The sequence below is a fragment of the Homo sapiens genome, chromosome 3 (genome assembly GCF_000001405.40).
Source record: "Homo sapiens chromosome 3, GRCh38.p14 Primary Assembly".
Lineage (NCBI taxonomy): Eukaryota > Metazoa > Chordata > Mammalia > Primates > Hominidae > Homo > Homo sapiens.
In genome coordinates, this window is record NC_000003.12 from 129,653,491 (window position 1) to 129,677,582 (window position 24,092).

General features: G+C 40.7%; 1 protein-coding gene across 16 annotated transcripts in view, besides 1 other annotated feature; it reads right to left on the bottom strand.

Moving 5' to 3' along the window:
* The window catches only part of TMCC1 (transmembrane and coiled-coil domain family 1), a 245,920-nt gene that overhangs the window by 5,699 nt on the left and 216,129 nt on the right, over positions 1–24,092 (bottom strand). For all 16 annotated transcript variants that reach the window (NM_001128224.3, NM_001349268.2, NM_001349270.2 and 13 more), the window contains 2 exons: positions 16,840–17,774; positions 1,478–1,613 (listed from right to left, as the gene is read on the bottom strand). In NM_001128224.3, the coding sequence (NP_001121696.1) occupies positions 1,478–1,613; positions 16,840–17,774 (1,071 nt within the window). The remainder of the gene's footprint in view (positions 1–1,477; positions 1,614–16,839; positions 17,775–24,092) is intronic.
* Positions 4,630–5,457: an enhancer, noted in NCBI's record as "H3K27ac-H3K4me1 hESC enhancer chr3:129376963-129377790 (GRCh37/hg19 assembly coordinates)". NCBI's record gives its function as "activates a minimal SCP1, AML or CMV promoter by ChIP-STARR-seq in primed H9 embryonic stem cells {active_cell/tissue: H9 hESC(primed)}" and the evidence as "EXISTENCE:reporter gene assay evidence [ECO:0000049][PMID:30033119]".

Genomic DNA, 24,092 nt, shown 5'->3' on the forward strand with positions numbered 1-24,092 from the left:
TAGAGTGCAGCGGCGCGATCTCAGCTCACTGCCAGCTCCACCTCCCAGGTTCAGGCCATTCTTCTGCCTCAGCCTCCTGAGTAGCTGGGACTACAGGTGCCCGCCAACATGCCCGGCTAATTTTTGTATTTTTAGTAGAGATGGGGTTTCACCGTGTTAGGATGGTCTTGATCTCCTGACCTTGTGATCCGCCCGCCTCGGCCTCCCAAAATCCCAAATCCCCTGGGATTACAGGCGTGCGCCACCATGCCCGGCCTGTTCTTGCTATTTTTTAACTTTATATTATTTAATTTAAAAGTCTATATTACCAAGACCTGATTGTATATTCTGTATCGCTCAATTACTAAAAAAACTTGAAAATAGTGTAAAATACTAATACATTAATGAAACATTAGTAATGCATTAGTGACATAAAGTGCTAATACATTAATGAGTCTAATGTTTAGAATTACCAGTAACTAATAACAACTTGTCTTATAACATATGCAATTAGAAAAAAGCTTCCATTTAACATACGCCTAATTCCCACACCTCCCCCCAACCCCCCCAAAAAAAGTGTCTGTTCTCCTCAAGGTCATAGCCTTCACTCATGAGTTTAAATTAATTCCAAAGTATTCAAGGGATAGAACCTATTTCCCTAGCTATGGTCAGATATCCTCCAAAGTTGGTCTGAGCCTTGAGTTTTTCTGGTCCTGGTTTCCTGGGATTTGAGGTAAGGCTTGGGCAACTTCAGACTGACGCCAACTATAGACAGACAATGGATGCTGTCCAGTCCAGAAGGATCTTAGGAAAAAATAATTAAAACATAAGCAGGGCCTGAAGAAGATGGCATCTGGGTAAATGATCTAGACATTCCCTTGATTCTTTTAGGCTGTTGTAATACAAGTTTTCTGGCCCACTTCCCTTCTCTGAGACTAGTGTCTTTCAAAATGCTTTCATATGAAACCACTAAGAACTATTCCCTAAATACCTCCATATAGAAATAAGAAAAAATTAAATATTCTACTTCCTCACAGAATAAAATAGATGGGCTATTAGCCTTAATTAAACATTACTGCCTCACGGGTTATTCTTGCAAACTGTCAGGCAATGTGCCTATATGAGATTTGGATTTGGCAGCTGGAATAAAAGCCCCCTTTCCCACAGAAGGAGAAGACAAGGACAAAATGGCCCAAATACTTGTCAGAGCTGCTTTTGAAGCAGTAATGGACAAATAGGATTCATGTGGTTTTCCATACACTGAGATTACTGTGATCCTAAGAAACATTTCCCAAGTACCAAGCAGACATACCAACCCAAAATGGTATAAACTTTTGAGAAATGCATCTCAATCATTTTAAGAGTAGGTATACTCTTACACAGTTGGTATAAGCTTTTCTTTGTTCTCTACCTTCTCATCTTTTTTCCTTCCGCTGTTTTCCTTTTTTCTTTCTAACCCTACTGTATTTTGCATTTACACCTTTTCCTTCATACTAACCTGGATGTCCCGGGCCCGTTCATAGGACTGATACGCGATTTTTTCTTCCATGCTTGCCAGTTCCTGCTTCAAGTTCAAGATTTCATTCTGGTGGAGCTCTGTTAGGTCATTTAGCTGTTCTTCCAATCGTTCACATCTAAGGAGAAAAAAAAAGTTTAGAATTTTATGAATTCTGTGAATATCTTTCCTGGCATTATTTACATCCAACTCCCAAAACACATTCTACAAAGGAATAGAAGCACAAAGAAATTGAGTGGCCTGGGTTAACAGGGTGTGCCAGTGGGTATAGCTCTTAGTCTCTGGAAAAGATAGCTTGTCTCAAGGCCAAATCACGTGGCAACATGGCTGTTCCATAATCTTTTCAATACACAGTATTTGCAGCGATGCCAGCAGCCCTGATTAGCTTTGAGCATAACCATAATATTAAGACAGTCATTAGGCTCCTCTGAACAACATATGGGAGAGGCAAAAACTAGGGTACAATTAAGCAAGCCTCATGAAAAGATAACACACCAATGGAAACCAACCTTCTGGCAGTCACCAGTAGCTTATTCCAGAACTGGCCAGCTCACTCACCCGGATGTTTGCGATTCAGAGCCCTAGAATGCCAGAGCCAGAGGGGTCCATCATCCCCATGGCCAAACACAAGTGTCTGGGACACTTCTGTCAACAAATATTTACTGAGAGCCTGCTATGTACCAGGCATGTTCAAAGTACTGGGAATATTGTGGTAAGCAAGACAGAGTGCCTGCCCTCAGGAGTTTGTACTCTAAGGAGTGGGGGAGGCAAGATGATTTCCCATATGGAGAAGTAAAACAAAGAAGATCAGTAGAGGTATAAGACAGAGTGCCGGTGATCGCCTGCCTTGGTCTCCCAAAGTGCTGGGATTACAGGCGTGAGCCACCATGCCCAGCCTAGAAAAGGTTTAAAGGATGAGATCAGAGATTCTAGGTGGAAAAATGAATGTGAGTAAAGGGCTGGAGAGAAATGGATGATAAATGTACAGAATAACTAGAATAGTGCATCTATGTTGGAGGAAAAAATGGGAAATCTGGAAGATCCGAAGAGTTGGGATTCTAGAATTGATATTAAATGAGCCCAAAGAAGACTACTGAGCAGAGGAGTCACATGATGAATATGTGTTTTTAGGAAAACGAGTCTTCTCATAGTGGTGAAGAAGACCGACTGAGGTAGGTTGTATGTGGAGTCCCAGGAACTAAAGAGCTAAGTAGATAGGAGAAAGGTTGAAGACTCCACATTTAAAAAACACTAGAAAAGGGAAGAATAAACATATGTCTAGCTTCTGGTGCCTAGAATGGAAACCTCTCTGTCAGGCAGAGGGCAGATGGGTAGCTCTCATCCCAACAGGGAATGTACTATCACTCAGGTAGCATACATTTAACATTAACACCAGCATGTGAGTCTCAAGGGACTTCATACTAAAAGAATAAAAATGCCAGAACAAACTCACACATCTAAAACTATCTCCTTTCTTTCTTCTTTTTAATCACATCTATAATATGTAAACAAACTTTTAAAGAATATAATGAATTTCTGTGTTTAAGGTAATTTTTATGTTGCAGCATCATAAACATTCTCCCTTCCAATAATTATGCAATAAATAATTATATCCTAAACTCCACTGCTTTTCTAAGAAACAAGGATTTTTTTAAAAGGCATTGTCTTACCCTTTTTACGATGTTACTAAACTCTATTTAGTTCTTCTTTATCCTTGATAGGAGTCTCTATACTGCCTTCTTTTATGCTGAAACTCTTCCTGTTATTGAAGTGACTGAACAGGCTAATGAGAAAGCAGTCCTACTTTTGATGGATAACTAGGGTCAAAGTTCTCTGTGACTCTGCCTTTTCCTTTCATCTGCTGCCCAGAGTACGTGATCAGGAACAGGTCCCATCCCTAGAATTGATTTTCCACCAAAATTTAAGTTCACAAAATGCCATAAGATAATGTTAACATAATGTCTTTTCGTGACTGTCCTATGTTAGCCCACTCTTCTGTGGTGTTTTCGGTGTTTGATAGTTTCATCATTCTCTCTCTTTACCAGAGAGGGGCCAGAGACTTTTTTAAAGCCGCATTCCAAAGTGCTGGTCTCTTGGGATTTAAGGGAAAGGTTATATCTGGCAGGAAATTACTCTCCTCAACTAAGGACTGTTGGGTGGCAGGGAGGGGAGCAGGGTGGTGGTCACCAGCCTACATCTTGATAAAAGCAGACACATGTGGGATCTCTGCATGTGTCCCACAGGCTACCACACAACCTCTTAGCCTACAAATTTCAGGCTTCTTAGGAATCTTATTTGATATTAAACATGGCTCATACATACCAGTAGAACAGATTAAAAAATAGCAGCCACAGCAACAGTTTAATCAGTGCCTACTATGCAAATTCATTTCAACAACCCCAAGAGGGTAGAAGGTATTATCTGCATTTTATAGATGAGGAAACAGAAGCTCAGAGAAGTTCTAAAGTGAATTGCCCAAGGGCACAAAAATATTAAGTAGGGCAGCAAGGATTTGAATCCAGTTTTGACTTTAAAATCCAAGTTCTTAAACTTTACAATGTGATGCCATTTTGAAACTCTACAAACCCAGATCAACTAACTCTCCTCATAAGTAAGAAATCAGAGTCAGAGTGCTAGCGATCCAAATCACTTAGCAAAAGTGAGCTGGAAAGAGCTACACTGATGTGATGGTTTGGAGTCTGATGTCAAAGTGGAGTTGATGGGAGAAGGAGGAGTATAATAAAAAATTATGAACCTACAATTAAAAAGATAAGAGTTGGTGAGGGCATGGAGAAATCTAAACCCTCATATACTGCTGTTGGGAATGGAAAATGGTACAATTGCTCTGCAAAACAGTTTGGCACCTCCTCAAAAAGTTAACAGTTACCTTATGACTCAGCAATTCTACCCCAGATATAACTGAAAAGAAATGAAAACTTATTTCTTCTATACAAAAGCTTGTACATGAATGTTCACACCAGCATTAATCATCATTGCCAAAAAGTATAAACAACCCATATGTATACGAGTGTTCACTGTACAACAATATATCATCTTGGCTGTTCACAAGTCAAGTATCAATATTTTGTATCCTAATCTGCTTGTCATTTGCCACCTGGCAAGTTTCTGTTCACTTTCTTCCTTTCTCCTTCAATCGATGGATGCTCACAGAAACATTAGAACATAAAACACAAATGTGAACACAGTTTTGCTTTTCACTACATGTATGCATATGAAGATCCCGAGCCCTAGGCAAAACTACAAAATAGGCTGACTTATGCCTTCACTCCCACAACATGGACTTCCTTCCTACTGCAGAAACAGTTCACAGGAGCAGGAAGGCTGTTGTTATCCTTTCCTCATCTTCTCACCTGACCTTTCATAATATACAGACACTCTTTGACTTACGATGGGGTTACTTCCTGAAAACAATATTTCCCATTTATGATGGGCTTAAATCAAACCATTGTTAGCCAGGGACTGTCTGTACAACAACATGTATGTCACTCTAGCAAGAATAATTCCCAGGACTGGGGCCTGAGATATTCTCTAGCAGCAGCCTGTGGGCTCTGACTCGGCTTTGACCTTACCTGCCTGGCCTTTTTTGTTCAGACCCAGTATGAAGACAGCAAAATACAAGGCATGCTTATCTTTACAAATAACATGAGGCAAGAAAGAGGTGAAACAGCAGACTGAATTCAAAATGATATTGACAGATTCAAGTGCAGCCAAGACTTTACCAGGGATTAATTCTATAGAAATAGGGAACTACTTCCTACTGCTGAATTCAGGTATCAAGAGCTCATGTAATGAGGGGGTAGCTTGTTCTTTGTAACTCCACAGAACTAAGGAGTAAGTCTTACAAATAGTTTGGTCTTTAGTTCAATTTTAGAAAGAACTTTCTAATAGCTATGTCTAACAATGAAAAAAACTATCTTAGAAAATGAGACCCTGCTACCAGAGATATTCAAGGAGAGGCTGCTTGTCAGGGATGTTGCAGAAATAAATCCTCTATTGAAAGAGATTTAACTAGACCTCTGAGATCTTTTCTAACACCTAGAGTTTGATTCTTTGTAGTCAGGGAACCTGTTTTCCTTTTTCTTTCTTTCTTTTTTTTTTTTTTTTTTTTAAAGAGATGGGGTCTTGCTCTGTCACCCAGGGTGGAGTGCAGTGGTGCAATCATGGCTCACTGCAGCCTCAAATTCCAGAGCTCAAGGGATCCTCCCACCTCAGCCTTCTGAGTAGCTGGGACTACTGACATGCACCACCAAGCCTGGCTATTTTTTTTTTTCAGAGACAGGGTCTCACTATGTTGCCCAGGCTGGTCTTGAACTCCTGAGCTCAAGCAATCCTCCTGCCTCAGCTTCCCAAAGTGCTGAGACTACAGGTGTGGGGCACCACACCTGGCTATTTTCATCTTTCAAACTATAGATACTTTAAATTTTGTGGTATATTTGCCTTCACAACGTATTGATTTTAACAACAATAAAGGGGGGCAAGGAGGTACACAAAATAGTGGTAATTTAAGAACTATGTAAAATCAGGTGTGAAATATTGGGATTCACTTGGTATGTGAGGTGGTGAGGAATATATATGAATCAGAGAATACTTGCAAAAGTCCTCAGCACTTATTCCCAACACTTTTGAACCTTACAATAAACCAATGTTTATCATAAGAAGGTTGCAAACCTGTCAAAGGTTCTGGAAGTCATTTTCAAACTAGATTTTGGTTCATCCCATATTATGTCTAGAGGTGCTCCATCTTCACTCCTGCCATTTTGCACCTAGAAATGTTTTCATAATGCAGTTTGTACCAGCTAATGCATGTGCTCAGTCCAGGTTTTGGATTAAAATCCCAGCTCTGCAACTCGCTAGCTTGGGTGATCCTTTTCATCCTCTATAAAGAGGAAATCTACCTACTCCAAAGGGCAATTGCAAAGATTAAAGGAGAAGACAGACATCAAATACCTGGCACACAAGAGGTGCTCTGTGAGACAGATATATCACAAATATACATTTGGTTTCATTTTTCTCTTTTGTGAGTCTCCTAGTTCTCCCCAACAATCCCTAGCGAGGTAGTTCAAAAAGATTGCTTGTTGACTGCCACATAGTCTTACTCCACTGTTCACTGATTCCCACTTCTGACTTTTTTCTCTAAGCCTTTGTTGTTGTTGTTTGTTTGAGACAGGGTTTTCTCTGTCGCCCAGGTTGGAGTGCAGTGGCGTGATCGTGGCTCATTGTGGTCTCAATCTCCTAGGCTCTAGTGACCCTTCCACCTCAGCCTCCCAAGCAGCTGGGACTACAGGCATGTGCCACCACGCCCGGTTAATTTTGTTTTTGTATTTTCTGTAGAGACGGGGTTTCGCCATGTTACCCAGGCTGGTCTTGAATTCCTGGATTGAAGTGATCTTCCTGCCTTGGCCTCCCAAAGTGCTGGGATTACAGGCATGAGCCACTGTCCATGGCCTTAAGTCTTCATTTCTTTATGTCCACTTTCCCAATTTTATATATTTTGACATTTTCACTGTTTTCAGTATATTTATGATGTTTTTCCTATGACATCACAGAAATGGGTTTACTGGGCACACACTCCATCCTCCTCAATCCTAGATACAAGCCTCTTTTACTTCTTATTTCATACATCTAGGTTCCTGCCATTTCCCTGGCTCAAGTTTGCCAGATAATTCAAATAGTTCCATGCACTGGCCATTTCCAAACTTTCCTTTGTACTGGTGAAACTATCTACCTATGTATGTGTGTGAGGAAAGGTGTCTCAAGTAATTTTTATTTTTTTATTTTAGAGACAGAGTCTCACTATGTTGTCCATGCTGGAGTACAGTGGTTATTCAGAGGCATAATCATGGTGCACTGCAGCCTCAAACTCCTGGGCTCAAGTGATCCTCCCATCTCAGCCTCCTGAGTAGCTGGGACTACAGACCTGTGCCATTGTGCCCAGCTCAAGTAAATTTTATCTAATTTTTTCAAATCTCCAAAAAGAGTTATATAGAAACTGCTAATCCTCACCATGCTCTTACAGAAAATAAAGTCCTTTAGAGGTTGAACAATTTATTCACAGTTACATGGGAAATTAACAGCAAGTTCTTCTCAAGCTGAGTCTTCCCAAATAAGAAAATGTAACTATTGTTCACAGAGATAATGCTTTGTTAGCAAGCAGCTAAATAGCAAAGCAGCATTTGGGTAAGTAGAATGATCTCAGCAGATGAAACAGACAAACATGGAGACCAATCTGGGCAAAATAGCAAAACCCTGTCTTTACAAAAAATACAAAAATTAGCTGGGCATAGTGGCATGCACCTGCAGTCCCAGCTACTCAGGAGGCTGAGGTGGGAGGATCACTTGAGCCCGAGAGGTCAAGGCTGCAGTGAGCCGAGACTGTGTCACTACCCTCCAGTCTGGGTGACAGAGCAAGAACCTGTCTCAAACAAACAGAAAAACCCACAAACAAAAACAGGAGTCCCAGAAGGATGCAGTGACTCCCTAGTTAGTAGTGAGGTTTAATAAGGATCTGAACCAATTGGCTTGTGCCTGTTATTAGATTATTGTCTTTTTAAAAACTTTTTGACTGGGCAAATTGCTTGACCCCAGGAGTTTCAGACCAGCTTGGGCAACATGGTGAAACCCTGTCTCTACTAAAAATACAAAAAAAATCAGGTTGGTGTGGTGGCATGTGCCTGTAATCCCAGCTACTTGGGAGGCTGAGGTGAGAGGACTGCTTCAGCATGGAAGGCAGAGGTGCAGTGAGCTGAGACTGTGCCACTGCACTCCAGCCTGGGTGACAGAGTAAGACCTTGTCTCAAAGAGAAGACAAAAAAATTCTGTATTGTTAATGAAATGCAAATAACGAAAGGAAAAAAAAACCTGTATTCTAGTTCCCACTGACTTCCCACTATCCCCATTACTAATATTATAATCTTCTTAGCACACTTTATTTTCTAGTGTTTACTTCCTGTCTAAATTCTAAAATGGAGAAACCAGGTACAAATACCTCTATCTTCTCATTAAATATTAACACCAAGCCAAACAGTAGGGGAGAAAAAGGGAAGATACATGTTTTATAGACTTTCATATGTGAAAGTCTTGGGTTTTTTTTAAACCTAGAACTCTGCTTTAAGGAATTTTAACCCCTTTACAGGATGCTAAATAGAACTCTCCAGACACAAATCGGGGCAGAGGAGATGGTGGGTGGGTGGGAGGTTCTTAATCATACAAGAACAGTCATGCCTCACTTAATGATGGGGACACATCTTGAGAAATGAGTTGTTACGTTATTTTATCACTATGTGAACACCATACAGTGTACTTACACAAATCTAGATAGTACAGCCTATGATACACTTAGGCTGTATGGTACAGTCAATTGTTCCTAGGCTACAAAGCTGTACAGCAAGTTACTGTACCATAGGCAACTGCAGACAGCTGTAATACAATAGTGTTTGTGTATCTAGACATATCTAAACATAGAAAAGGCACACTAAAAATATGGCATTACAGGCTTGGTAGTGCATGCCTGTAATCCCAGCTGCTTGGAAGCTGAGGCACGACAATTGCTTGAAACCGTGAGGCAGAGGTTTCAGTGAGCCGAGACTGTACCACTGCACTCCAGCCTGGGCAAGAGTGAGACTCCATCTCAAAAAAACAAAACAAAACAAAAACAGCATTATAAACTTATGAAACAACTGTCTTATATGTTGTTGATCAAAATGTCATTATTCAGCACATGACTATGTGTGATTTTGGCTGGCAAATGATGTTCACGCACCTCCGCTTGGATTACAAGTAGCATGAGATTAATAATCTTATTTTAAGGATTTTTACTCAAGGTCCTTCCTAAATTGTTACAACCCAAAGAGAACCTGGACACTTAAATATGGCATGAGCTTAACTATCAGCAAACAGAAAGCCTTTGCACTGTAAGATTATTTTTTCTAAAAGCAAGTATCATATTTTGGTAGATGAAATTCATCCCCCACTGGAAGCAAAACCTGTTCTATCTACAAAGTATTAAACACATCAAGATTTTGTCGTAGGTAAATAATTCATAAATAAATACTAAACTTGAAAGTGTTTTGGTCACTAGGTCAACACAGTAGTCAACTTCCTAGATCAGAGATGAGCCAGGGGCCTTTTGTGTCAAATTACTGATGAATGGGAGCCTGGGTGAGTACACAGCCTGGGAATGCTTTGACCTGAAGCATTCCTCTTTGGGTGTGGCTCAAAAGTTTGGAGCCATCTCTGAGAACCAATGGTGCTTCCCTAGTTCGGCAATAGGTCACTAGCACAGGATAGCTGAAGAAACTTGTGGAGCAGGTATTGAGAGAAACAGGAAGAACTAGGTCCCAGGAAAAACACCCACAGGCAACTATGGGAGAAGAATGGACTATTTCCCAAATGCATACCAGAGACCCAAAATAGCTTCTGCCAGTGTTTGACCAGAGTAGAGAGACACAGTTGGGGTAGGGAGTATGACTTGCGGTGGGAGTTTGAATAGGTTCCTAGCTGAATTGGGGAGAGTGGATTTTTTTCTCCTTACCTTTTGTTACCTTTTTTGTGTTGAAGCCTGAAAAGAAGCTAAAAAACACTGAACTAGCCTTCAGCTGAAAAGGGAAAAAGATATCAGTCCCCCACAATATTTCAAGGGTAGGCAATGAATTATCTTAATGACAAGAAAACAGTAAATATCTAAATAATACAGGAAATAAATAAAAACTAGAGGGGCTTTCTGGGCAACTTGCAGACTTGGTAATGACAGCTTTCTAACATTCTGGCACAACCCAGATCTTTGTATTCCCCTAGAAAAAATGGAGGAGGAGGGAGCATTTGTTGAGCTCCTACTCTAAACCAAACATCACACTAGGTACTTCCATATATGTTATCTCCTTTAATAACTTCAACAACCATGTACAATAAATATCATTACATTTTTACAGAGGGAGAAACTGAGGCTCAGATGAGTTATGTAATCTACTCAGAGCTGGCAAGCAAATTCAAGTTTGTCCACTCCAAGGAATAAGGGTTAATTAATTAATCCCCTCCATTCCTCTTTAGCGGCTAAACGCTAAACTGGGATGAGCTCACCCATAAATCTCTTTTATGGAAGATTGTATACGTCATATTTCCTAATTGGGATTTTGCTTCTCTCATAAATGAAGGGCTAATTTGATTCAGTACCCTCAGTTTCTATTTCAAACTTATTGTCCAAATCTAGCCTACATATCGTCTGGAGATTCTCAGATCACTTTTCAGTTGACAGGTCTCACACATAGAATAAAGGGGCTAAAACAGGTACCTCTGAGCATACATCTGAGCATACATCATTGGGTTATGTCCAATGATGGTCAAATCAACTAAAATTATATTTAAACAACCATTTGTTTAGTTAGAACTCTAACAGCCTGTGCCTAATTGGGTCAGCCTAGTTACTAACTGTTCTACTGCATGTGACAACTGCTCAGGGTGACTGTCTCCTGTATTTTTGCTCTTATGACTCAGTGCAATTTAAAATATCCCCGGGTTTAATACAAACTTTCTCAGAAGCCGATTTCCAATGGACAGTAATCCCCTTCAAATACAAGCTTTCAAAATGGCATTAATGCTCATCAACACCTGGGGGGTTTTTAGCCTGCCCTACATGACACTGCTTTATACAGGCTACAGTAGCTCAGTAGGATTCCAGGCCAGATCCCCTAAGAAAAAAACTACCAAAGAAACCAGCAAAATTCTCAATTAATGTTTTCCTAGCTCTCTCTTATTTTCAGTACATTTTGCCACAGCTGAACTTTTCCTTTTGGTAGCCTATTAATATATTTACACTCACTACAGGAACAAAACTAATCCTCAGTTTCTAGCAGCAAATTAAATATATGTAAAACCATTTTACTGTGTGACCTGGCAAAAGTCACTTTATCTTTCTGAGCTTCAGTGTTCTCAACTGTAAATAAGATTAATCTAGATATCTAAGGGTCCCTTCTACTTCTGAAGTACTGTGAACCCAGCTGCCACTAACAAAACATGGGATGAAGAAACTAACTGGACAAGAATCTGAAGTTGGCACAGGTCTCATCACTTAAAAAAATTTCTAAACCTTGTCTCCTGCCTTCCCCAAATACATGATCTCACTCATAGCTGAATGCACAATGGTAAAACTCAATACCTAGTCACTAGTCAAAGGCTGAGGTGGAGTTCAGATCCAAGCTCTGCTACAATGGCTTCCTGGGCTAAGTGCATGTGGGCAATGAAAAAATAATGTGTCAGTCATGGTACAATTATGTGGGTGAAGAGAGAGAGACTGTGCTCTATAGGCTTTGGAATGCTTCTGATTATTCCAGAGTTAGGCAGATGGTCTTGGGCAACTATCTTCACTTGGAGCTACTCACTTGGGTAGACAGCAATGGAAACACATTAAGCGAAGGACATTATTGAGAAGGGATTCTGAGAAGGGGAAATAATGACCGAAGTAGGGATTTCCTTAAGAAGGTTTCACCTATTTATTTACACTGCTGTACTGGCCTAGGAAACTTTCCAGAGCTTGCATATTCATAGCATTTTTATAAAATATGTTAAAAACAGTGACTCAACTTTTAGTAAACATTTACTTCAACTTGGGATAGGCCTAATACCCACTGCCAATGCATCTAATGCTTCAGAGAGCTAGGCTTTCAACCATATAGATTTCGGGATTGAGCTTTGAAAAAAATCATCCTGGTATGAAAATAACACTGAATTTGAAGTCAGACAAAACTGGGTTTTGAATCCTGGCTTTACCACTTACTGAGTGACCTCTGGCAACTTTTAAAACCCCACTGAGCTTCAATTTCCTCATCTTTAAAATGGGAATAATACAATTTACCTGTAGGGCCTACTGTGAGGATTGGCAAATGTACGTAAAACATCTAGCACTAGGCACATCACAGGAGTTTAACACTGTTCGTGGTAGTGGCCTTGTCACCATCATCATCAAATAACAAACAGCAACACTGTGCATGGCCTCCCTCTCATCAACTCAGATACTAGTAAAATAAACTAAAGCGTAGAAAAAAAATGTATCCTGAGCATCCACGCATGCATTAACTGGTTCTTGGTCACAGAAGGATCTGTGAAGTCCATCCACAGCCTACTTTCTTCCTACACAAAAAGCAAAGCCTACAACAGAGTAGAAGTAGAATTAGTAAAGAGAGGCTGCTGCGGGTAGCTCACTAACAGTGTGGAGAAGAAATGGAAAGGAGAAAAAACTATAAAAAAAGCAGACAAACTGAAAAAAGCCTAGGGCCATTTACTGTAGAGGCACATAAATGGACAGCTTCACTAACCTGAGAGTATCACTCTAAGCTGAATACTACCATATCTAAGCTCTTTCCATTAAGTTAGATTCAGTGTACTTTGTAAAAGAAGGCAGAGAAATTTCCCCAAAATGCTTAAAATGTGAAAAGTTTCAGTGCTTAAAATAGGTTTCTGGCCGGGCATGGTGGCTCATGTCTGTAATCCCAGCATTGTGGGAGGCTGAGGTGGGTGGATCACCTGAGGTCAGGAGTTCGAGACCAGCCTGGCTAACATGGTAAAACCCCGCCTCTCTTAAAAATACAAAAAAGTAGCTGGGCGTGGTGGCAGACACCTGTAATCCCAGCTACTGGGGAGGCTAAGGCAGGAGAATCACTTGAACCCAGGAGGCGGAGGTTGCAGCAAGTCAAGATCGCACCACTGCACTCCAGCCTGGGCAACAAGAGTGAAACTCTGTCTCCAAAAACAAAGAACAAAAAAACAAAAAGAAAATATATTTCAAAGCCAGGCATGGTGGCATGCACCTGCAGTCCCAGCTACTCAGGAGGCTGAGGTGGAAGCACTGCTTGAGCCCAGGAGTTCAAGACCAGCAAGGCAACATAGCAAGACCCTGACTCTTTATTTTTTAATTTTTTTTTTGAGACGGAGTCTCACTCTGTCACCCAGGCTGGAGTGCAGTGGCATGATCTCAGCTCACTGCAACCTCCACCTCTCAGATTCAAGCAATTCTCCTGCCTCAGCCTCCCCCGTAACTGGGACTACAGGCGCATGCCACCATGCCTGGCTAATTTTTTTTGTATTTTTAGTAGAGATGGGGTTTCACCATGTTAGCCAGGATGGTCTCAATCTTCTGACCTTGTGATCCACCCACCTCAGCCTCCCAAAGTGCTACGATTACAGGCGTGAGCCACTGCGCCTGGCCAGCAAGACCCTGACTCTTAAAAAAAAAAAAAAAAAAAAAAAGACTTCAATTTGTAGAAAAATTTTATTTATGTGAAAGCATTCAAAGATCAACAAAATTAGATGAATATGTTTACTGTATAAAGCCATATATAATGGAGGGGAAATCTCTATCTGCTTTATACAGGGAATTATTGGAACAACAAAAATAAAGTACAATAGTTGTGACTTTTCCACTCCCTTTTTTGGGGAAAAAAAGGGCTTTCTTTCTTCAAGATTGTGTTTTAAGGAAAAGTCATTCTAAAACTGAAATGGGAAAACAAAACAAGTCAGATTACGTAGTATGTCTTCTCCTTGCCTCCTGGTTTTAACTCTCTTTTTGAAAATTCAAGTTTTCTTCGTTCTGTCTTCATTCCATAAAACTAGTCATTTACCTACTAGAAAGAACCCAAAGTGCAATGAAAGAAATGCACTGCTCATTACCTCCTAAATGGCTTGAACTTAATTCTTCTAATGAGGTGTTAATGAGCAGCTAACGTTCTGTCCTATTATGTCTCCGACTTACACTAAATGGATTCAAAGGTGGCTCCTGAGAGACCTGTTTCTGATTTTCTCATATCTTGACTTTCTACATCTTGACATGAAGACATAACAAGCTCTATATGAATTTTAAGCTCTGGGGCAATTTAAAAACTACAAGGTATCCATTCAAAATAGAGGAGTTGACGGGGTATGGTGACTCATACCTGTAATCCCAGCACTTTGGGAGGCCAAGGAGGGCAGATCACTGGAGCCCAGAAGTTCAAGACCAGCCTGGGCAATATAGTGAGACCTTGTCTCTACAAAAGAATTAAAAAACGAGCCAAGCGTGGTGGTGCACACCTGTAGTCCCAGCTACTCAGGAGGTTGAGATGGGAGGATCACTTGAGCCCAGGAGGTCGAGGCTGCAGTGAGCCAAGATCGCACCACTGCACTCCAGCATGGGCAATAAAGTGAGACTCTGTCTCAAAACCAATGTAAAACAAAAAATAGAGGAGTCAAAGTAGGCAGTTTTGTGTGGTTTTAAAAATTTTTTTAACTGACTGTGGAATGTCTTCATGTTCTAAGTGGGGTTAACAGCATCTGTTCCCCTAACATCAGTAGAGCACTATGGGGCCAGGCACTGAGCTATGTGCTTTAACCAAATAATTTCACTTAAATATCACAATAATCTTATAAAGAACTATTACTATTTCTATGTTAGGGATGTGGAAACCAAGACTTAAGAGAACTGAAGAAACTTGCCCAGGTTTTCAAGGTTAGTAAGGGGAAGAACTGGAATTTGAACTTGGGAGTTAGGTTTAATATGGTACAAAGACACAGGTGTTTTACTTTTAGAGTTCATTTGAATATCTGTTATATCACTTATTGAATAAGATACTGTCTTCTCAGTATACTTAAGAATTTATTTTTATTTTCATTTGACACGGAGTTTTGCTCTTGTTGCCCAGGCTGGAGTGTGATGGCACGATCTCGGCTCACTGCAACCTCTGCCTCCTGGGTTCAAGTGATTCTCCTGTCTCAGACTCCTGAGTAGCTGGGATTACAGGCATGCGCCACCATGCCCAGCTAATTTTGTATTTTTAGTAGAGACAAGGTTTCTCCATGTTGGTCAGGCTGGTCTCAAGCTTCTGACCTTGGGTGGTCCACCCACCTCAGCTTCCCAAACTGCTGGGATTACAGGCGTGAGCCACTGTGCCCAGCCATACTAAAGAATTTATAAAACACTTAAATAAAAATAGTAATGTACAGTATCTGCTTTTAGAACTTTATTTCTCCCTCCCACACTCACTTCTCTGGTCTTCTCCCTTGAAGTCTTAAGTTAGAATTGAAGAACAGAAGAGTAAGAAAAGAGGCAGGCTGAATTACTGATTAGAGTTTTCACCATCTGAAACGAACTTGCTGCTGTAACTCTTCTTAGAGATAATTTATACATGTGAACAATTTGTTTCAGACCCTAAGATTACCTTATAAAAGCAAACTTTTAAAAACACATTTTTAAAAGGTGAAAAGGATATTAAAAGATTATCTGTTCAACTCCTGATGTTACAGTAGAAGTACTGAGGATTTTCTCTAGTTAATAATCGGGACAGGGCCAGAACCCAGGTCCTTCAAGGCCTAACTTGACCTGTAGCTCCCATAAGACTAGTCCTCAATTTGCAGCATTAGGTGGCCTGTCTCTGGCTAACAAAGTTTGGATGTATCCTTAGAAAAAAATTTTTTTTTTTTTTTGAGACGGAGTTTCGCTCTTGTTGCCGAGGCTGGAACACAATGGTGAGATCTCGGCTCACCGCAACCTCCACCTCCTGGGTTCAAGCGACTCTCCTGCCTCAGCCTCCTGAGTAGCTGGGATTACAGGCATGCACCACCACACCCGGCTAATTTTGTATTTTTAGTAGAGATGGGATTTCTCCAGACGAGAATATTATTTCTCTCTGCGTGTGAAGGTAACAAGGAGAAAGGACACATATTCAGAGTATAGCCAAGAGTGGTCTAATATGAATATGTAGTGTAATATTAAACACAAAAACGAGACCAGCTTCTACCCTTAACAGAGACTATGATTCAAAGCACTTAACCCTTTGAGAATTTTCTAACTCTTGTAGAACCATTTCATGTTTAAGTCCACTCTCATTCAAACACTTGTCAATTCATAATAAAGGTAACATTCTTATTTGGATTTGTTTGCAGTCTAATCTTTCTATACCAAGTTGCCCAGATATGTGTGTTTAAGGCCAAATACCTATAGAAGTCACTACATTTTGCTTGGGTGATATCTTTGATATCTACACAGTTCTAAGAATTACAGATCTTTTGAATTCAATGTAGTACAGTTACAGGCTGCAATGACTGTGTAGTTTTATAATTATAAATAAATAGGTGAAATACTTTAGAAAGCTTGGACTTCATTTTAAAGTTCTAAACTGGCACGAAAGACTGGAGAGTTACAGCAATGCTTCATCAGGAACTCATGTGGATGTCTTATGACATACCGAAAGTGCTCTGGACACTCTAGAGAAAGATAAAGACTTTTAAAAGCCATTTCCCCATATCTAAAGGGAGGGGAACCCTACACAAATAATTTCAGATATTAATTCCATGTGACTTACCTATATCGCTCCTCCTGTAAGGTCTGCATTATTAAGGAATAGTCCCTCTGATAATGTTCCTTGAGAGTCTCAAAGGATTCCTCTAGTCTGGCCTGGGTTTCCCGGATCTCCTGGATCTCATGTAGTAGTGCATCAAATCCTGAGCTCTGCATGTCCAGGGTGTTTGTTTTGGAGCTGGATGCTCCTACAGCGATGCCCCCTGTGGTGCTGTTGGCTCCCACTGAGCCTGAAGTGGCACTAGAACAATCTTCTTCACTACCATATTTTGGGCTAGACTGAAAGTTTGAAATCACTCCCAAAGCCTTCCCCGCATCATCCACTTGCCCTTCCTCTAAAGAGTCCTTCAGGTTGGGGATGTTGTCTGCACTGCCAAATTTGTTCCGAATGAGTGAGGCAATCTCTCTGGGCTTTGAGACTACAGCGCCTGCTGCTGAATGGGTGGCCTGGGAGAAGCTGGAAAACCCACCTTTGACACTATCCACCACACCTTCACTGAAGCCAGTCACCTTTGCTCCTACATCCTTCAGACCCTGGTGCATGTCCCTGAAGACATCCTTTGGCTGCCGGGGGATCCCATTCTGCTCTACCTCTCTGAGCTTCCTGTGGTAGTGCTCAAGTTTCTTTTGCAGCTGGAGGATAGTTTGGGCAGATTTCTGGTTCTTCTTCTCAAAGACTTGCTTGATGCGGGCAGCCTGCTGTTTGTCTGCACTGTTGGCAAGCTTCAAGTATTCAGCAACGTTGTCGTCCCGGGCTGTTTGTGCAATCTTGATTTGTTCTGTGAGCTTCAGGATCTTCTGCTGCAGGTGAGCAATGGCAGCCTTTGTGCGCTGAGGGTCTGGTGTTCCATCCACAGAGTCTGTGTGGATGCTGCCATCGGTACTGGAGGCCACTGCACTGGATGTTTGGGCAAGGCTGCTTACTTCCAACCGTTCGATCTAGTGTAAAAACAAGAGGTACATGTTAGAAGCCCAAGAGGACTACGTCTTCAAAATCAATGGGCCAAAATGTATTGGAAATGTGTCTACTCTCAAATCTCAGTAGATAACTGACCTATAATTCCCCCTTGTCCTATGCCAGCCCTGTCTCCCTCTTACATACTGCCCTCATACAAGTATACTTTAAGCAAAACAGATATATGAAAAAAGATCTGCACAAGATATAAGCTGGGGGATTCTTCCTTTGCTAGAGGATTTTTCAGTGTTTCTTCACACAATAACACTCCCTTAGTGGGTTTAAAGTATGAATTAATTCACTTTCTTTACACATAATTTTTATTCAGAAGAACATCTATGTAAAACAAGTTGCATCTGCATTTCAATATAATTATATGAAAACCCTTTTGGTGTTCAGACATCACTGTAATTCTGATCCACACTTATAGATTATGGTCACCTAAATGTGTCGGCAAGAATAGGTATGTTACTGGCTAGATATAAAAATGCAATTTTTATCATAATGATTTTTATCCAAATCATGTCAAGGGTGATGGATCATTCTATATATTCTAAGGATATTTAAGTGGCAGCTGGAGATGGTTGGAGGCAAGATGGGAAAGTAACTGCTGAAAGTGGCAAAGATGAATGTTACCAAATCAAAGGTGATAACCTTGAGCAAGAAAACTTGAAAACTCAGGGACAGGAACAGTAAGAGCTAAGTTAACAAGTCAGGGACAAGGATCAGGTCTTTCGGAGCCCATATTTTGTGACCTTTATCCAGTAAAAGGTTTTTGTTAGGCAAGGGACTCCAAAGCACGTATACTTAATCCTTTCATGTGGGTGAGAACCATTCAAAGGAGTTGAAGAAAAAGACAAGATACTCAGATTTAAAAGCATAAATGTTCACTCTTCAACATAGTTAGCTAAATTTGGGGAGGTCAAGTTTCCCAAATTCAGGACAAAAAAATCCTTCAGTAGGTCATCCCTGGGTGTGGCTTGTGGTGGTGAATTTGAATAGGTCCCAAAGAAGAAGGCTCTAGAAACTGTTCTTGGCCAGGCACAGTGGCTCACGTCTATATTCCCAGTGCTTTGGGAGGTCAAAGGAGAAGGATCACTTGAGGCCAAGAGTTTAAGACCACCCTGGGCAACATAGTGAGACCCCCTCTCTACACATTTTTTTTTTAAATTACACAGTTATGGTGGCACACACCCATAGTTCCAGCTAGTAGGGAAGCTGAGGTGGGAGGATCACTTGAGCCCAGTAGTTCCAGGCTGCAGTGAGCTATGACTGCACCACTGCACTCCAGTCTGAGTGACAGAGCGAGACCCTGTCTCTAAAAATAAAAAAACAAACCTGCTCTCTGTTAAGCAGTAACAGAGTAATGAGTAATGAGTAATAAAATAACCTTCTTAGGGTAATAAAAATCCCCAGTATAAGTGCCAAATTACAATCCTTTTCTTGGTTCCCATCTTAATCTGTACCAGGTAACAATTTGCTAGAAAGAACTATATACAAGATCACCTTCTTCCTCATATTTTCATGACAATAATGCACCAAGTTTGAAATATTTATGAAACGCCAATAATTAACCTAGGGATAACATCTTCTTTTTTTCATCTGGGATGTATTACCTCAGTTTGCCATCTGAGCAGGAGCTATGCTGATCTCTGAGCCATAAAACACATTTAGTTCATTATTGAATTCAATATATTACCATTGATGTGAATAAAAACACTACCTTCTTTCTAGATGAACAAATGAGAAATACTGTGCATTTAAATAAAATCAAAAGAGAATTTAATACTGAAATTAATGACAAAATAACGTTATGCACCACTAGTGAATAAAAGAGAATATCTGGAATAGTTACTAGCACAATAACTGTTTTGTGTCACTTCCTCCTTCTGCCCAATTCATCTTTTGGTGCATGCTAACAAGCAGTGGAATGGACAGACGCAGCACAAGGGAGGAGCAGCCAGAGTTCCAGATAAGCAAGGTGCCAAGAGTTGCAACAAGAGCTCCTGGAAATCCACTTTATTCAGTGCCCAATGTCTTCTAGGTTGCACAGGGTTCCAATTGTTGCATTTTCTTTCTGAATGAGATTTCAGATCCTTGACCTTGATGAGTATTTATGTTTAATAATTAAGCTCAAAATATACCACAATATAAAGGAAAGCAAATATAAGAATGTCACTAGATCCAAGACTCTAAGCTTCTGCATGCTCTAGTTATCTCTCTCTTAGGTTCTCTGATATTAATATGAATATTTACATGCAATCTGTAGACTAAAGAAGTGTAGCTATGGCCAGGCACAGTGGCTCACACCTGTAATCTCAGCACTTTGGGAGGCCAAGGCGGGAGGATCGCTTGAGCCCAGGAGTTTGGGAACAGCCTGGGCAACATGGGGAAACCCCATCTCTACAGAAAAATTAAAAATTAGCTGGGCATGGTGGCACATGCCTGGAGTCCCAGCTGCTCAGGAGGCTGAGGTGGGAGGATAGCTTGAACCTGGGAAGCAGAGGTTGCAGTGAGCCATGATTGTATTTGATTATATCTCTAAAATGAAAAAAAAAAAAAATCTCTACACTAAACTTTCAACATACAGTCATATGCTGCATAATGACATTTCGGTCAATGATGGACTGCATATACAACAGTGGTTCCATAAGACTATAATACCAGATTTTTACTGTACCTTTTCTGTTTAGCTATGTTTAGATATGCAAACACTACTGTGGTACACTGCCTACAGTATTCAGTACAGTAACCTGCTGTACAGGTTTGTAGCCTAGAAACAATAGGCTATACCACATAGCCCAGGCGTTATACCATCTAGGTTTGTGTAAGCACACTCAGCGATGTTTGCACTTTGACAAAACTCCCTAAATGCATTCCTCAGAATGTATCCCCATATTTACAAGTGATCACATTTTAGATGTGATTTTATTTCCTTATGTAGTAACTGAAGAAATAAACTAGGCTGTCTTTAATCTGACTTCCGTCCTACTTGGGCTGTTTGGAGCCATAGTGTGTCCTGGCTCCTACTCAGAATCATCAACATGCCTGCAAGAGTATAGCTGATAGAACCCAACGTCTTCAGCCTCTAAAAAAACTAACCCATAGCTTCAGCAGTAAGGTAGTTTAACACCTGAAACCATGAATCACTGGACTACTGGAACTCCTCCCAATTCTAGCAGAAACAATTTTTTTAAAGGAGGGAGAAAATGGGAAATAAGGGGAGGGGAAGAGAGGAGAATGATGGAGTGAAAGAAAGGGAAGGAGAGAGGAAAAAACCAGAGGAGAGGAAGAAGAAGAGTGGGGTGCAGAGGGAGAGTAAAGGAGGAAAGAAAGAGAAAGTTACATTGGACTACAGAATCACAGGACAGGGGAGGAAAACAGTCGTGATATACTCTGAGTTAGGAACAAAGTCCTTAAAGGGGAATTCCATGCTCTAGGCATTAATACTTAGCACTTAGCTATGAGTTTTGAAGGCACCAACTGAAAAGTGGTTCCCTTTTTCAACAGCCTTTGCTGGCATATTAGGCTGTTCATATACAACAACATAAAATTAGATTTCTCTTCTTTTTTTTTTGAGACAGAGTTTTGCTTTTGTTGCCCAGGCTGAAGTGCAAAGGCGCGACGTCAGCTCACTGCAACCTCTGCCTCCTGGCTTCAAGCGATTCTCCTGCCTCTTCCTGAGTAGCTGGGATTACAGGCGCACGCCACCACACCCAGCTATTTTTTTTGCATTTTTAGTAGAGACGGGGTTTCACCATGTTGCCCAGGCTGGTCTTGAATTCCTGACCCCCAGTGATCTGCCCGCCTCCCAAAGTGCTGGGATTATAGGCGTGAGCCACTGTGCCCGGCCATAAAATTAGGTTTCTAACTCACTCCAGATAGACAATTAAATCCCAAATGTAAAAGGCAAAATTTAAAAACCTTTCAAAGGCAGCACTGCAAAATAAGGAAGGCTTTTCTTAAATATACAAGGAAAGGCACAAATCCAACAAACAAGATTGAGTCTGGCTCCATATAGTACAGTAGTGAAGCATGGATTCTGGCATAAATGGCTTGGGTTCAAATCTGGCTTTGCTACTAGCAAGTTATTTAGACAAGTTACTTAACCTCCGCATCCATTTCATCAACTGTACTAATGCTCACTTTAGAAGACAATTATGAGGATGAAATGGGTCAACAAATATAAAAGGGCTTAGAACAATACCTGGCACTGAGTAAGTTGTTAGCACTGTTTTTGTACCATGAAAGTGGTTCTTTTAAAAAATTTAAATGTTAAGAGTTCCTAGAATATATTCCCGTCCAAGATCTTTCCACATTTCAGGCATGAACAAGAGATACGTAAAGAGTGAACCAAAGGAATAATGTAATTCAACATTACAATAAAAGTAATATAGTCACCTATGCTAGATATAGTTGGCCTCGTGGCTATACACTTGGCTAGCTAACCTTCCAATCTTAAAAACAACATTACAGGCTAGGCGCAGTGGCTCACGCCTGTAATCTCAGCACTTTGAGAGGCCGAGGCAGGCGGATCACGAGGTCAGGAGATCGAGACCATCCTGGCTAACACGGTGAAACCCCATCTCTACTAAAAATACAAAAAATTAGCTGGGCGTGGTGGCGGGTGCCTGTAGTCCCAGCTACTCAGGAGGCTGAGGCAGGAGAATGGCGTGAACCTGGGAGGCACAGCTTGCAGTGAGCCGAGATCGCGCCACTGCACTCCAGCCTGGGCGACAGAGCGAGACTCTGTCTCAAAAAAAAAAAAAAAAAAAAAAAAATTACAGATGTTGTTATCACTAATTTACAAATGACTTGATTGCCTCCCACCACCAGTTATTACAAGGCAGGATGAGGAAAGCAGCAGCAGTCCCAGCTACTCAACAGGGTGTCTTTTTCTGACCATATCCTGAGGGGCTTTTGTACTCTCCTGTCAGAGTCCAGAGCATCAGTGCAGCAAATACTGCCCATTCACAGCTGATATTAGAATTTGTAATTAATTTGTATAGAAAAAGGTAAAAATCAGTCAGTTAAATATATTTTGACTGTTTATTATATGCAAGGCAATGCGCTAAAAAGCTAGGGATATGGTCAGAAGCCACAATTCTGATCTGTTGCTGTAACAGACTATGCTGCTTTGTCTGCATTGTATCTCTTAATATTAAGAGATAGTTTGTCAGACTTAAATTTATCTATTAACTGATCTGAATTAATTGACAGAAAACAACCCAAGAGAAAATCTAAACAGCAACACCTCAACATAATCAGGGCAGAGTGGTGCCATTTAGAGCGCAGCATTTAACTTAGCTTTGTTACTTAGCTCTGTCTACTTTCTCTAAGTAGATGAAAGTGTCAGAACACAATAGCACCCAGCTTTGAGAATAATCACGTGTAAAGGCAATGTGGTGGAAAGGGCAAGAATAAGAAGACCTAGGTTCAAACCTAGCTTTATCACCTTACTAGCTGTGTGGTTTTGGGTCACCTACTTGTTCTCTTTCAACCTTAGTTTTCTCATCTATACAACAGGGTTATCATTTTCTAATGAGATTTTTTGAAAAAATGTTAAAGATGTATTAAGTCAGATGATGCCTGCCAAACATGGTAAACTAATTAGTTACCTTCTTCCATCACTTAACCTGGCCTGTACGTTCATTAATCAAAATCCAAATACCTATTTGTAACTAGAAAAAATTAATAAATTGACCAGGTGTGGTGGCTCATGCCTCTAATCCCAGCACTTTGGGAGGCCGAGATGGGCAGATCACTTGCGCTCAGGAGTTCAAGACTAGCCTGGGCAACATGCCGAAACCCTGTCTCTAAAAAAAAAAAAAAAATTTGGCCGGGTATGGTGGCACACGTCTGTAGTCCCAGCTACTCAGGAGGCTGAGGTGGGGGGATTGCTTGAGCCTGGAAGGTCAAGGCTTCAGTGAGCTGAGATTGTGTCACTGCATTCCAGCCTGGGTGACAGGGTCCCCCAAAAAAGAATAGTGACTCAGGCTATAATATTCAAGAATCATTCTCACAAGACTTTAGAATGAAGTATATTATATACAATTAGTCTGAAGTCTGTTAATGTGGGAAAATGTTAAAAATTTTCTATTTTCTGAGCATGTGCTAACCAGGAAAAGGAGACGGTAACAAAAAAGGTGCTTTTATTACTGAGAATTAAAAAATACATATAATATTCATGTGCAGACAAGCCAATGTGACTATAGAACTGCTCAATAAGTTCTCCTTTACAAGTTAATTCCTGCTACAAATACTTCAATGATACAGTGTCATTAAAACAGAATATTTCTCAG